The following is a 14,728-nucleotide window of genomic DNA, read 5'->3' on the forward strand; positions in this document are numbered from 1 at the left end:
CTCCCGGCGCCTGTCCTGTGCAGCCAGGGGTGACTCCGCTATCTGCCTCTCAGGCAATGTCCGGATCTCTGACCTTGGGCTGGCCGTGGAGCTGCTGGACGGACAGAGCAAGACCAAGGGCTACGCAGGGACCCCAGGTAAGGGTCTGAGCGCAGCTGGGGAGGCTCCGTGCATGGGTTACGTCCCTGTGTACATGTGTGTGCCTGTGTGCACTTGCACATACATGTGAGTTTGTGTATATAGGTGTGTCTGTGTGCACATGGGCGTCTGTGTGGTTGTGCATTTGTGTGCATGTGAGTGTTGTGAACCCTGATATCTGAGGCAGGTACCAGTTAATTTAGAAAGTTTATTTTGCTGAGGTTGAGGACGCGAGTCCGTGGCAGCCTCAGGAGGTCCTGATGACAGGTGGTCGCCGCACAGTTTGGTTTTACACATTTTAGGGAGCCATGAGACATCAATCAGCATATGTAAGATGAACACTGGTTCGGTCTGGAAAGGCGGGAGGGGGCTTCCAGGTCATAGGAAGATGAGAGACAAATGGTTACATTCTTTTGAGTTTCTGATGAGTCTCTCCAGAGGAGGCAATCAGATAAGCATTTATCTCAGTGAACAGAGGGCTCACTGAGAGGACTTTGAATACAATGGGAGGCAGGTTTGCCATAAGCAGTTCCCAGCTTGACTCTTTCCTTTAGTGATTTTGGGTCTCAAGATATTTTCCTTTTACAGTGTGCCTGTGTGCATGCCTGTGTCTCTGTGCACACACGTGTGTCTGTGTGCCTGCATGTGTGCCTGTGTGCCCATGCCTGTGTCTCTGTGCACACGTGTCTGTGTGCCTGTGTGTGCATGCCCGTGTCTGTGCACACACGTGTCCGTGTACCTGTATGTGCATGCCTGCATCTTTGTGCACACATGTGTATCCGTGTGCCTGTGTCTGTGTGCATGTGTTCCTGTGTATGCATGCCCGGGTCTCTGTGCACACGTGTGTCCGTGTGCCTGTATGTGAGTGCACATGCACGGTGCATCCTACTGCCTCCCCCATCCCGTGTCACTCATCTCCTCTCACCTCCCCCCAGGCAGGGAGGCTCGCAGCACCTGTGGAGGAGAGGAGACCCCCACAGTCAAGCAGAGCGGGGTCCGTGTTCTGGGCCCAGCACCTGCTGGCGTGTGGCCTGTGTGCTTTACTTAACCTCCGAGCCTCCTGCTAGCACTCGGTGCACAGGCTTGCTGAGGAGACCTCACACGCCACGTGCCCGGCGCCTGTGTACAGCAGCCACACCGTGAATTTGAGTTCTTCCTCTCTCCTCCGCAGTCTTGAGGGTCCGCGTGTCGGGCTCACTTCTGCTGGGATTTCCAGAGAATGTCGCTTCCCCGTGGTTGTTTTGGCTGTGGGGAGGCAGTGCTGTCGCCTGATGGGGTTTGTGTGCGGTGGTGTTTTGGGTCCTCCCATGCTGGTGTTTAGGCACTGGGCGTATTTGTGCCGTGGCCACGGGGGGGACATCCTCGCTCCAGCTGGACTTAGGGGAAGGTGCATCTCGGGGTGGGGGCTAAGGACTGTTTCCCCAAAGTTCTGACGAAGGGCAGTTCTGTGCCCACACCCCTCATGGCTGGGTTGCCATCTGGATGTGGGATTCCGTAGCCACTGAGTGCTCAGGGCCAGTGGTCGAAGGTCTCAAAACTTTCTGGAAGGCAGCTCATCCTGGGGGATCCCATGGCTCAAGGAAGCCTCGGGTGGCACCTGCTTTTCGTGAGATGATCCAAGCCTCTTTCTGGGTGGGTAGAAACGGTTGGCGCTGCGGCCCTCGAGTCTTTGGGACCCTTGCCAAGCCTGGGTGTGAGCGCGTGGGTGGAAGCCCCCTCACGCATTTCGGGGAGATCCAGGTGGACTCCGAGGCCAGGACTGGAAGAGTTAACCTCACGGATGGAAAGGGCCCAGCTTCCAGGCCGAGGGTGAGGGCCCGACTGGCCGCCAGGGGGCCCCAAGCCTTCGCCGGCGCCCGTTCCTCGGAGCCCCAGGTGCTCACAGCAGGGCTGGGCTCAGGCTGTGACCCCTGCACAGTGACCTGGAGATGCTGCCGTCAGGGTGCAGGCTGGGAGGCCGGTGTCAGTTCAGCAAAGCCGCAGGGTCCGCATCCTTCTTCCTGGCACCCTCGCGCCCTCCCACGCGCCCCCCACGCAGCGAGAGACACCACAGCCATAAGAAGCCTGTCGGGGGACTCCCCCTTGCCAGTGCGGTGCGGACCCAGGGGCGTGCACAGGGCGGGGCCGGTCATGCGCGGTCCTAGTTTGAGGTCAGGGGCGGGATCCAGGGGCGTGCACAGGGCGGGGCCGGTCATGCGCGGTCCTAGTTTGAGTTCAGGGGCGGGATCCAGGGGCGTGCACAGGGCGGGGCCGGTCATGCGCGGCCCTAGTTTGAGGTCAGGGGCGGGATCCAGGGGCGTGCACAGGGCGGGGCCGGTCATGCGCGGTCCTAGTTTGAGTTCAGGGGCGGGATCCAGGGGCGTGCACAGGGCGGGGCCGCTCATGCGCGGCCCTAGTTTGAGTTCAGGGGCGGGATCCAGGGGCGTGCACAGGGCGGGGCCGGTCATGCGCGGTCCTAGTTTGAGTTCAGGGGCGGGATCCAGGGGCGTGCACAGGGCGGGGCCGGTCATGCGCGGCCCTAGTTTGAGGTCAGGGGCGGGATCCAGGGGCGTGCACAGGGCGGGGCCGGTCATGCGCGGTCCTAGTTTGAGTTCAGGGGCGGGATCCAGGGGCGTGCACAGGGCGGGGCCGGTCATGCGCGGCCCTAGTTTGAGGTCAGGGGCGGGATCCAGGGGCGTGCACAGGGCGGGGCCGGTCATGCGCGGTCCTAGTTTGAGGTCAGGGGCGGGACCCAGGGGCGTGCACAGGGCGGGGCCGGTCATGCGCGGTCCTAGTTTGAGGTCAGGGGCGGGATCCAGGGGCGTGCACAGGGCGGGGCCGGTTATGCGCGGTCCTAGTTTGAGGTCAGGGGCGGGATCCAGGGGCGTGCACAGGGCGGGGCCGGTTATGCGCGGTCCTAGTTTGAGGTCAGGGGCGGGATCCAGGGGCGTGCACAGGGCGGGGCCGGTCATGCGCGGTCGTAGTTTGAGGTCAGGGGCGGGATCCAGGGGCGTGCACAGGGCGGGGCCGGTCATGCGCGGTCGTAGTTTGAGGTCAGGGGCGGGATCCAGGGGCGTGCACAGGGCGGGGCCGGTCATGCGCGGCCCTAGTTTGAGGTCAGGGGCGGGATCCAGGGGCGTGCACAGGGCGGGGCCGGTCATGCGCGGCCCTAGTTTGAGGTCAGGGGCGGGATCCAGGGGCGTGCACAGGGCGGGGCCGGTCATGCGCGGCCCTAGTTTGAGGTCAGGGGCGGGATCCAGGGGCGTGCACAGGGCGGGGCCGGTCATGCGCGGCCCTAGTTTGAGGTCAGGGGCGGGATCCAGGGGCGTGCACAGGGCGGGGCCGGTCATGCGCGGTCCTAGTTTGAGTTCAGGGGCGGGAGAATTTGTGAACAGAGCAGGTAGAGCTGTCTCCCTCACGCTTTCTGTCAATATTTACTGGCCGCTGCGTGGCTGCAGGTCCCTCAGGAGGCCTGGGGCACAAACAGGTGCGCCGTCCGGGCTGCATCATGGGGGTCAGGCCAGGAGGGCTGGGGGCTCCTTGGCCCAGGAACTGACAGGAGCCTGCGGTCTGGTGGGCCTTGCTCGTGCCCGGCCTGGGAGCTGAGAAGGCTCTGGGTGGGTCTAGAGGCTGTGATCGTGTGAGCAGTTCCTCCCCGGAGTCTGGGCAGAATTCTGACGTCCGTGTAATCCTGGACCAGTAGGGCATATTCAGGGCCTGTGGTTCTGTGAGGCAGGGTTCCTGCAACTCTTTTGGGGAAAAAGGATTCTGTGGCCACATCAGCCTGGCCCTCAGGCACGGTGAAGGACCAGGAAGGACCTTGACTCAGAAGTGTCAAAACTGACCAGCCCCAGCAGCCCCCATGCCCCAGCCTGCGGCCTCTCTGCCTGGTCCCAGGACATCCGTCATGGGTCTCCCAACGGGCCTGTCCGCCACTGTGTGCCGGGTTGGCCTCACTTGGGTAGCAGCTGGCAAGTTGACATAACTCACACAGGCCCCATGTGCCACACAGAGCTGGCTCGGGGGCCAGGCAGGTGTCTGAACTTCTCCTGGAGTCTGACTCACCAGAGCAGACGTCTGCCAAGGACCCTGCTTGGTCAGCATGCAGCCATCTGGAGGGAGGGCCCAGAGCTCATGGCTGCCGCCACTGGAGACAAGAGGGCGGAGCACTCAGGGAGGCAGCCCACGGTCTATGGACTGGGTTGTGGGTTGTGGACTGTGGGCTGTAGGGTGTGGACTGTGGGCTTTGAGGTGTGGCCTGTGGTCTGTGATCTGTGGCCTGTAGGCTGTGGCCTGTGGACCGTGGGCTGTGGACAGCAGCCTGTGGACTGTGGGCTGTGGACTGTGGGGTGTGGGCTGTGGCCTTGGACAAGTTGCTGCACATCCCCATCATGAGTACCCATGGCAATGAGGAGTACCCATGGCGATGAGGACCCATGGCAATGAGGAGTACCCATGGCAATGAGGAGTACCCATGGCGATGAGGACCCATGGCGATGAGGAGTACCCATGGCGATGAGGACCCATGGCGATGAGGAGTACCCATGGCGATGAGGACCCATGGCGATGAGGAGTACCCATGGCGATGAGGAGTACCCATGGCGATGAGGACCCATGGCGATGAGGAGTACCCATGGCGATGAGGAGTACCCATGGCGATGAGGACCCATGGCGATGAGGAGTACCCATGGCGATGAGGAGTACCCATGGCGATGAGGAGTACCCATGGCGATGAGTACCCATTGCGATGAGGAGTACCCATGGCAATGAGGAGTACCCATGGCGATGAGGAGTACCCATGGCGATGAGGAGTACCCATGGTGATGAGGACCCATGGCGATGAGGAGTACCCATGGCGATGAGTACCCATGGCGATGAGGAGTACCCATGGCGATGAGGAGTACCCATGGCGATGAGGAGTACCCATGGCGATGAGGACCCATGGCAATGAGGAGTACCCATGGCAATGAGGAGTACCCATGGCGATGAGGAGTACCCATGGCGATGAGGAGTACCCATGGCGATGAGGAATACCCATGGCGAGGAGTACCCATGGCGATGAGGAGTACCCATGGCGATGAGGAGTACCCATGGCGAGGAGTACCCATGGCGATGAGGAGTACCCATGGCGATGAGGAGTACCCATGGCGATGAGGAGTACCCATGGCGATGAGGAATACCCATGGCAAGGAGTACCCATGGTGATGAGGAGTACCCATGGCGATGAGGAGTACCCATGGCGAGGAGTACCCATGGCGATGAGGAGTACCCATGGTGATGAGGAGTACCCATGGCGATGAGGAGTACCCATGGCGAGGAGTACCCATGGTGATGAGGAGTACCCATGGCGATGAGGAGTACCCATGGTGATGAGTACCCATGGCCAGCTCATGGCGTATAGTGGACTGCTGTGCCTGGCACTCAGGGCAGGCTGGAGCAAGTGCTGTGCTCATCACCATGGCAGCATTGCAGCGGGGCCCGGAGGGTCTGTGGCCATCACTCAGAGACGCCCCGGCTCCGTGGAACAGGCACAGGGCTGGACCACGGAAGTGCCTGAGCCGAGACAGGTGGGATCTGCGGTTTCCACCCTGGAGGGGAAGCTTGCTCACAAGGAGAGGGAAGCCTCAGTGTGTGGCTGTGGCCTCGAACCTCATCCCTATGAAGAAGGAGGGATGCCCTGGAGAGGGCGGAAGGGCCGGGGAGGGCACAGCCCGGCTGGTGGGGTCTGCAGGGAACCACAAAAGGTGGACAAGGCCCGGCAGGTGGGCAAGCCTTAGCCAGAGGTGGGAGGAGAGGAGAGGACCCCATGCCAGCCTGAGCAGCGTGGGGGTGCCCGGAGGCTGCAGCCCACACTGGATTCCATCTTCTCTGTGAGGAGCAGTTGGGAAGGGCTCGAGAGGTGCTTGGCTGCCTCAGAGTCAGGCCGCGGTGAAGGGAGGCGCCTTTTAGGGTGCTGAGGACTCGAGCTGAGACTGTGGGACGAGGCAGAGAACTCAGCTTCAGCAAACTAGACATATGTGAGCCTGGTGTGGCTTCCAGGCACGAACCTAGAGTAGGGGTGTTTGTGAGTGTGAAAGCACTGAGCCTAGAGATCTGCCTTGACGTTAGCAAGACACCAACAGATGTGCGAGCGAGGCTCCAGGCTCCATCGCTCCCTGATCCGCTGGCGGAGCCAGAACACAGAGCGTGGAGTGGAAAGTGTGTTTTGAATTTAGTAAAGTGTTGGGAAGCAGCCACTCAGATACTCTCGTGGACAGAGCTGATGGCTGGACACACATGTGATCTGCTTTCCCTCCTGAAGTCCCGGGACAGGGGCAGTGAAGGGATCTCGCTAAAAGTACAAACCCACGTGCTCAAAGGAGGGTGTGAGCGGCAGCGTCATGGCAGCTGGAAGACTGATGATGGGTGAGGGGAGCCGGCAGCTGACACAAGGAAGCAGAATGCTAAGCTGCTGCCAGAGCCCTGAAGCTGCACAGAACTGTCAGTGCCCAGTGCCTGGTGTCCGTGCAAAGGTGACCTTGGCAGATGAATGACTGCATGAGAGCAGCTGCACACAGAGCTGTCCCTCCGCCCTCTGTCCTGTGACGGTCCCCACAGCTGTGCCCAGACCCGTCCCTCCATCTGAGACAGTCCCTGCGGCTGTGCCCAGACCCACCCCTCCATCCCGAGACAGTTGCCACGGCTGAGCCCAGACCCGTCCTTCCATCCCGAGACAGTCCCCATGGATGCGCCCAGACCCGTCCCTCCATCCGGAGACAGTCCCCGCGGCTGCACCCAGACCCATCCCTCCATCCCAAGACAGTCCCCGCGGCTGCGCCCAAACCCGCCCCTCCATCTGGAGACAGTCCCCACGGCTGAGCCCAGACCCGTCCCTTCATCCTGACACAGTCCCCGTGGCTGCACCCAGACCCGTCCCTCCATCCCGACACAGTCCCCCAGTCCCCGTGGCTGAGCCCAGACCCGCCCCTCCATCCCGACGCAGTCCCCCAGTCCCCGCGGCTGCACCCAGACCCGTCCCTCCATCCCGACGCAGTCCCCCAGTCCCCGCGGCTGCACCCAGACCCGTCCCTCCATCCCGACACAGTCCCCCAGTCCCCGTGGCTGAGCCCAGACCCGCCCCTCCATCCCGACACAGTCCCCCAGTCCCTGCGGCTGCACCCAGACCCGTCCCTCCATCCCGACAGTCCCCCAGTCCCCGCAGCTGAGCCCAGACCCGCCCCTCCATCCCGAGACAGTCCCCGCGGCTGAGCCCAGACCTGCCCCTCTATCCTGACACAGTCTCTGCAGCTGAGACCAGACCCATCATCCCATCCTGAGGCAGTCTCCGCGGCTGCACCCAGAGCCGTCCCTCCATCCCGAGACAGTCCCCGGGGCTGAGCCCAGAGCCATCCCCCCATCCCGTGACAGCCTCTGCGGCTGCGCCCAGAGCCCTCCCTCCATCCTGAGTCCCCGTGGCTGCGCCCAGAGCCGTCCCTCCATCCTGCCACAGTCCTGTGGTTAAGGGCCTTCTTGGCAGAAGACTGGGACCGGACCACCTCTCTGGAGAGGACACAGCCATAGCACTCCTGGGTCACCGGACAACTGGAGAACAGGCCGACAGCTGAGGAAAAGGAGAGTGACCGTTGGTTGAGGCTCCCCAGGCCTCCTCTCCAACGTGGTTCCCAGAATGTGGAAGACCCGCCTTGGCATGATCTGACCAGCTCAAGAGGAAAATTCAAAAGAGAATGATGTTGGATTCTCCCCAGTAAAAGAGTCCAGGAAGGCTGCCTCAGTGCAGCTACAGTCAACAAGTCCCGCCCTGTGCCCAGCACTAGAGTGGGCATGGGGCATTTTTGGTTGTCATTTTTGGTTGTCACAGCCTGGGGGTGCTGCTGTCACCCCACAGGCAGAGTCTGGGGTGCTGCTTGGCACCCAGTAACACACAGGGCAGCCCCTCCACAAAGGATTTTCTGGCCCCAAATGTGGAGAGTGCTGAGGCCCCGGGGGGGATGCATCCCCAGAGCATCAGTCCTGCGATTCCTGGAGTGCGTGCCCACCATGGAGGTGACCACCTCTGAACCCGCAATGTCCCTTGCTGGCAGGTTTCATGGCCCCCGAGCTCCTGCAGGGCGAGGAGTACGACTTCTCCGTGGACTACTTTGCCCTGGGGGTCACCCTGTATGAGATGATTGCGGCCAGAGGACCCTTCCGAGCCCGTGGAGAGAAGGTAGGAGGCGGCCGGCAGGTGTCTCTGCAGCCACCTTGGCGCCCTGGCTCTCGATGGGGACGGGGCAGTGATGGGATCGTTACTGGGGCAGACCTGGGAGTTGTTCTGTGGGCCCTGGGGTGGGGAGGGCACAGATTCACGTGCTGGGGTCTTGCTCCTGGGCCATGCTGTTCTGTCTCAGTGGGTGACGCCCCCAGCCCCTGAGGCCTGCAGGTGGAGGGGCTGAGGGATTCCCAGTCACCCTGTGCCCCAGAGCAAGCAGACCCTCCCACCAGACAGCACGCCACCACTCAGCCTCTGAGGGCCCTGTGGGGGCCGGTCCCTCTGGTGCAGACCGGAGGAGGGAGGGCGACTTATCCCACTGTTGCCCCAGACCCTGGGCAGTGGGACAAACCACCTTTTGTGGTTTGGGGTGGAGCTTCATCCCCTGGGGACTGGCGAGGCTGAGGCTGGGGCTCTGGGGGACACGGAGTCGGCTCCCCCTCCCTGGACGGTCTTATCCATCGCTGTTGCAGAAGAGCAAGCTCCCCTTCTTCCCAGACACCAAGAACCCACAGCCCATGGTGGGCCCAGCAGCTGCTCTGAATGTCCCGGAGTGTGGACACCTAGTGGGGCTGCTGGGTCTCCCCTGAGTGCCCCCTGGGCTGCCCCGGATCCTAGGCCACCAGAACTGCAAATAGGGATAACATTGGGAGGTGCCAGTCCCTTATTCAAGACAAGTGGAGAAAAGCTGGCTTTTTCCCTGTGAGGCTGACTCAGAGCTCAGGGCTGGGGCTGCCTCTCGTTGGACGGAGGGGGTGGCCGCACGGAGCCAGAAGGCCACCGTCTCAGAGTTGCATCAGGCTGCCTTGAGGTGCGGCTCTTCCCTGGCCACCCATCGCCCCCTCAATGCCACCTGGGCGATGCCCACCCCTCTCCCTTCTGACTTCCCTGGACATGTGACCTGTCCTGCCAGGACAGGTTTCAGAGCAGAGTCGTCCCAGGACCACTAGCACGCCCGTGGTCACTCTGTGTCTGTGGGACGTGGCACAGGCGTGGGCTGCCAGGGCAACCCGTGGGAGTAGCGTCAATGGCCTGATCCGGGGGCCTTGGGGACTGAGCAGCACCCTTCACACTGTACCCACTGGTGGGGCCTCTGATGGGGAAGTGAGACCTTGGCAGCACTCCTGAAGACAACAGAGCCACCGAGGCTTCCGTCCACCGTGGTGGAGTGAAAACGGAGGCTGCTTCTCAGCTGGGCCCGCGCTGGCCTTCAGTTTCCTATCTTTCCTTCCTTGGTGGGTGCGGCTGTGCTGGGGGTGGGTCAGCCAGAGTCCCCAAAATGCACGGCACCCACCTGTGGCTCCTGGGAGCTTCGCCTTTAGGATTCCATTCCTGAGACTGGAGCCTCAAACGCTGCTGTGCTGGGGAGGGGCACAAGGCCTCATGGGTCCCCCACCCGCGTGGGTGAGCGGTGGCTCTTGTGGGAGGAGCTGTGGTCTGGTCTGACCACCCAAGAGAGGCGGGTCTGGCAGGGCTAAGGCTACGCGTGTCCCCACAGGTGGAGAACAAGGAGCTGAAGCACCGGATCATCTCAGAGCCCGTGAAGTACCCTGATAAGTTCAGCCAGGCCAGCAAGGACTTCTGCGAGGCGCTGCTGGAGAAGGACCCGGAGAAGCGCCTGGGGTTCAGAGATGAGACCTGCGACAAGCTCCGTGCCCACCCCCTCTTCAAGGACCTTAACTGGAGGCAGCTGGAGGCTGGTACTGTTGGACGCCTCAGCCCCGGAGAGGGTGGGGTTCTGTGCTGTGTGGCCCTTGGGTGTCCGCCCGGTCCAGCCTGTGAGAGTCGGCAGGGAGGAGTGCCTCAGACCCCCAAGGCTCTCCCTCTGCCCCCAGCAAGGCCCCCAGTCCTCCACTCATCATCCCAGCCCCAGGACAAGCCGATGGAGCCGGCATCGGGCCAGAGGGCTCTGGGTGCAATGGGAGGCAGGAAACACACTGGCCGCACTGGGGCCTCGAGACCCAAACCTTCCACCACGTCCCCTGGTGCTGGAGGGAGCCCAAGATCAAATGGAGGCCAGTGGCTCAGGCCGTCTGCCGGGGAGAAAGTCATCCACCCACCAGCACTTGCTTGACAAGTGGATGCGGAAGATACTATGTGCGCGCGTGTGTGTATGTGTGTGCACGTGTGTGTGCATGTGTGCGCGTGTGTGCATGCGTGTGCGCGCACGTGTGTCCATGTATGTGTATGTGTGTGCATACGTGTGTGTGCATGTGTGCGCATGTGTATGTGTGTGCATACGTGTGTGCTCATGTATGTGTGCATACGTGTGTGTGCGTGTGTGCACGTGTGTGCATGTATGTGTGCATACATGTGTGCGTGTGTGCGCACGTGTGTGTGCGCGCGTGTGTATGTGTGCATACATGTGTGTGCGTGTGTATGTGTGTGCATACGTGTGTGCATGTGTGTATGTGTATCTGTGTGCATACGTGTGTGCGTGTGTGTGCACGTGCGTGTGCATGTGTATGTGTGCATACGTGTGTGCGTGTGTGCATACGTGTGTGCGTGTGTGTATGTGTGCATACAGTGTGCGTGTGTGCATGTGTGCATACGTGTGTGCGTGTGTGTGCATACGTGTGTGTGCGTGTGTGCGCATGTGTGTGCATACATGTGTGTGCGTGTGCGTGCATGTGTGTGCGTGCGTGTGCGTATGTGTGTGTGCATACGTGTGTGTGCATGTGTGTGCGTGTATGTGTGTGTGTTCATGCACTTTTGCATCTGAGACACAGCCATACCCTCTAGGACCCTGTGGTCAGGTGGAAGGGTCAGGCCACGTGCAGTGTGACTAACTTAGGACAGGGCCACAGGTGACCAGGGAGCAGAAGACCCCCCAAACGAGAAGTCGCTTTCGTATGTTAGGGTCACAGCAGTGACTGCCAGACAGGTGCCCTGGGCAGGCCCAGCGAGGCAAGGATGGCTGTGGTCAGGGAACCCAAGGGGGCTCCAAGGGGTCACAGGATGAGGAGGGGACCCCGCCCGCCCTGTAAGGAAGTCTGAGCCACAGAAGGGTTTGAGCCCAGAAGTGTTGAGGTCAAAGTGAGGCTGAGGAGGAACCACACGGCGGCTGTGCAGTGTCTGCTGGCACTGGGAGGTGGTCCTGAGGCCGTCACAGAGGCCGTCTGGGGGCCAGCATGGGCCAGCCGGGTCAGGGTCGGTGCACCGAGAGGAGAGTGATGTCTGTGACCGGCTGTGCCTGGCCATCGGGGGCCGGTGCGTCAGGGAGGGACGCTGGTTGGAAGGAAGCTGCCAAGTTCACTGGAGCGTGTGCTTGAGTGCCTGGGGTCTGGGGTCTGCAGAGTGCGCAGGGGAGGCCCTGGTGGGGATGGGGCCCCAGGGGAAGGCGTGTTCGGGGAGGAGACCGCTTCATGACGAGACCCTAGGGGAGGCTCCCAACAAGGCAGATGTGAGCGCCAGGTCCTTTCACAAGAAGGCTCCAAAATGAGCCCTGGGATCTCAGGCTTCTTCCGGCCCCACTCAAGCCCCAGCTGTGTGGTCTCAGGGGAACCCAGGGGCCTTCTGGGAACACTGGGCTTTCTCTCTCAGCCTCCACGACACTTCCCTAAGGAAGAGCGGCCCCAGGCCTTTGTGCATCTGGGAGCCATGGGGGAGGGGGCTTTTTGGCTAAACGGCGCTTCCTTCCCACCACGAGGAGCCTGGCGTCTGTGTTTTCTGTCTCCCACAGGGATGCTGATGCCCCCTTTCATCCCAGACTCCAAAACTGTCTACGCAAAGGATATTCAGGACGTGGGTGCCTTTTCCACCGTCAAAGGTGTGGCCTTTGACAAAACAGACACAGAATTCTTTCAGGAATTTGCCACTGGCAACTGCCCCATCCCCTGGCAGGAGGAGATGATCGAGACGGGCATCTTTGGCGAGCTGAACGTGTGGCGCTCGGACGGTCAGATGCCGGACGACATGAAGGGCATCTCCGGGGGCTCCAGCTCCTCGTCCAAGTCAGGGATGTGTCTGGTTTCCTAGGTGACGCCCCAGAGTCCACGTGGAGGAAAAGGACCCATACGGCTCGATGGGGGCCGCCTGCCTCCGTGGTGCCAGCCTGGGGTCTGCTAGCAAGGGGACACGTGGTTCCCTCCACCCAGGTCCCCATCACGCCATCTCCTTGCGGCCCAAGGAGGAGAAAGCCCACATCGGCCTGAGCCGCCAGACGCACATGCTGGTGCCGTGAGCCCCCGACTGCATATTTCACGTCTTTTGCTCCATCTCACTGAGAAGACATAAGATGCTCTCCAGAGGGAGTAAGCCAAAAATCTACAAACTCTTAGGGAGCCTCCTGCATTGGTGATTGACCAACCGTGTGGTCAGGGGCAGAGACTCGGTTTTGGCCTCCCAAGACCTTAGCCATTGGCTTCCCAGAGCCACGCTCCTCAGCGGGAGGTGCACGGTGGCCAGGTCAGGGGTCAGTGAACCCTGGCCGCAGCCCCTGGCCCCACTGGGGAGGGCTGGACCTCGCCCCCCCCAGGTCCCTCTGTGCAGGCTCCTGACTTCCAGGGTGCCCGGGCCCTGTGCTGGTGGCCTGCACGCCACATGGTCCCCTGCACCCTGCGGCGCCGTGGTCCTCTGCACACTGGGGCACCATGGTCCCCTGCACTCCGGGGTGCCATGGTCCACATCTGCCAGGCGCAGGCTCTGTTGGGCTGTTGGGAGGAGGGGAGCGGGTGTGGAGTCTGGGGGTCTCAGTGCATCTTGGGGTCTCCTTATCTCAGGGTGTCCAGCTGACGGCAGCTGGTGCAAAGTTCCCACCCCTGAGCTGGGGAGCTGAAAATGTTTTCTGTCTTGACCCTGAGTCCCGGAAGCACCTCAGCTGCTCTTGGCGGGCAAAGCCAGGACCGTTTGCTCTCTGACCCTCCTCCCCACTGGGGCTGGTCCGTCTCATCTCCCAGGGGACACTTCAGGCCACGGGCCTTGTGCATAGGGACAGAGCTCCTTGCTGCAACCCCTCTCTGTGTTCCCAGTAGCAGCAGCACTGGAGTCCTAAAGCCATAGCCCGGGAAGACACTCACAGCCCACCTTCTCATACAGCTCGGCCCCACCCACAATGCACCTGGCATTTCCAACTGCACTTTGAACACTGAAGGTTCCCCAAATGCTTTGTGTGTTTTAACTGCAGGAAGTTAGTTCTGTTGCAACTGCCTCCAGGACACACTCCCTCTTGAGGGCCGGCGGTGCTGGCCTGGGTTCCATGGCCTCAGCAGCCGGCTCAGAGGGAGTGCATCCAAGCCGCAGGGAAGCAGTGGTGATGGGCGGCCTGAGGACTCCTTTCCAGAGAGGGCCTCTGAGCTCCTTTTAGGAAAGAACTTCCTTTGAGCCCCGGCCACTGTTGTACCAGTGGGAGAAGAAGCCTGACCCTGCCACATGTGGTCACGGGGAGAGAAGATGGTAGGACGTCCCCGTGAGCCTTGGGGCAGAGCTGGTGGTAGAAAGAAGCCCTGTCTACTCTAATTTGGTGAGAGGGGCCGCGGCAAGTGGCTGATGATGTGACTGATGGAGACAGGGTGGCTTGGGAAGGTCCCACTTGGGGGTGTCACGTCCTGCAGGGAGTGGAAGAGATGGATCCTCCGTAGCCTGGACTGGTGGGTCTCGGCCTCTCTCCCAGAAATGGCAGAGACAGCTGCCTGAGAGTCAGTGCTGCAGTGGGCAGGGCCTATGCCCTCACAGTCCTCAGGCTGCCAGGTCGTCCTCTTCCTGTTGGGGAGAAGAGGACCCTGGCAATCCACAATTTTGGAGATTTGCTGGCTGCAGCCAAAATGGGGACCCAACTCCCTCCTATGTGGTTTTAGAGCTTCTGGAGGGAAGATAGGCCACGCCCCTGGGTGAGGAGCACGTCTTCCCACAGATCCTAAGTCGGCCACACCCTGGGTGAGGAGCACGTCTTCCCATAGGTCCCACGTCAGCCACACCCTGGGTGAGGAGCACGTCTTCCCATAGATCCCACATCGGCCACACCCTGGGTGAGGAGCATGTCTTCCCATAGATCCCACGTCGGCCACACCCTGGGTGAGGAGCACGTCTTCCCATAGATCCCACATCGGCCACACCCTGGGTGAGGAGCATGTCTTCCCATAGATCCCACGTCGGCCACACCCTGGGTGAGGAGCACGTCTTCCCATAGATCCCACGTCGGCCACACCCTGGGTGAGGAGCATGTCTTCCCATAGAACCCACGTCGGCCACACCCTGGGTGAGGAGCACGTCTTCCCACAGATCTCAACAGAACTCCACATCGTCTGGTTTTGTGGAGACTTTCATATGTCCTGTCAAGTTGCCTCATGCACCTGCAGACTGTTCTTGGGAAGCAAACCTGGACTGCAAAATAAACCTCCCGGCCTCCTCCTGTCCTGGCTCTGA

General features: G+C 61.5%; 1 protein-coding gene across 2 annotated transcripts in view, besides 2 other annotated features; it reads left to right on the forward strand.

The window, feature by feature from the left end:
* GRK1 (G protein-coupled receptor kinase 1) overlaps positions 1-14,716 on the forward strand; it is an 89,538-nt gene extending 74,822 nt beyond the window's left edge. For both annotated transcript variants that reach the window (XM_047430493.1, NM_002929.3), the window contains exons 4-7: positions 54-137; positions 8,199-8,323; positions 9,864-10,065; positions 12,048-14,716. In XM_047430493.1, coding sequence (XP_047286449.1) covers positions 54-137; positions 8,199-8,323; positions 9,864-10,065; positions 12,048-12,343 — 707 coding nt within the window. In that variant the 3' untranslated portion in view covers positions 12,344-14,716. The remainder of the gene's footprint in view (positions 1-53; positions 138-8,198; positions 8,324-9,863; positions 10,066-12,047) is intronic.
* Positions 229-833: an enhancer, noted in NCBI's record as "NANOG-H3K4me1 hESC enhancer chr13:114426222-114426826 (GRCh37/hg19 assembly coordinates)". NCBI's record gives its function as "activates a minimal SCP1, AML or CMV promoter by ChIP-STARR-seq in primed H9 embryonic stem cells {active_cell/tissue: H9 hESC(primed)}" and the evidence as "EXISTENCE:reporter gene assay evidence [ECO:0000049][PMID:30033119]".
* Positions 834-1,439: an enhancer, noted in NCBI's record as "H3K4me1 hESC enhancer chr13:114426827-114427432 (GRCh37/hg19 assembly coordinates)". NCBI's record gives its function as "activates a minimal SCP1, AML or CMV promoter by ChIP-STARR-seq in naive H9 embryonic stem cells {active_cell/tissue: H9 hESC(naive)}" and the evidence as "EXISTENCE:reporter gene assay evidence [ECO:0000049][PMID:30033119]".
* Positions 14,717-14,728: the final 12 nt, after the last annotated feature.

Source organism: Homo sapiens, chromosome 13 (assembly GCF_000001405.40).
Source record: "Homo sapiens chromosome 13, GRCh38.p14 Primary Assembly".
NCBI classification, from domain to species: domain Eukaryota; kingdom Metazoa; phylum Chordata; class Mammalia; order Primates; family Hominidae; genus Homo; species Homo sapiens.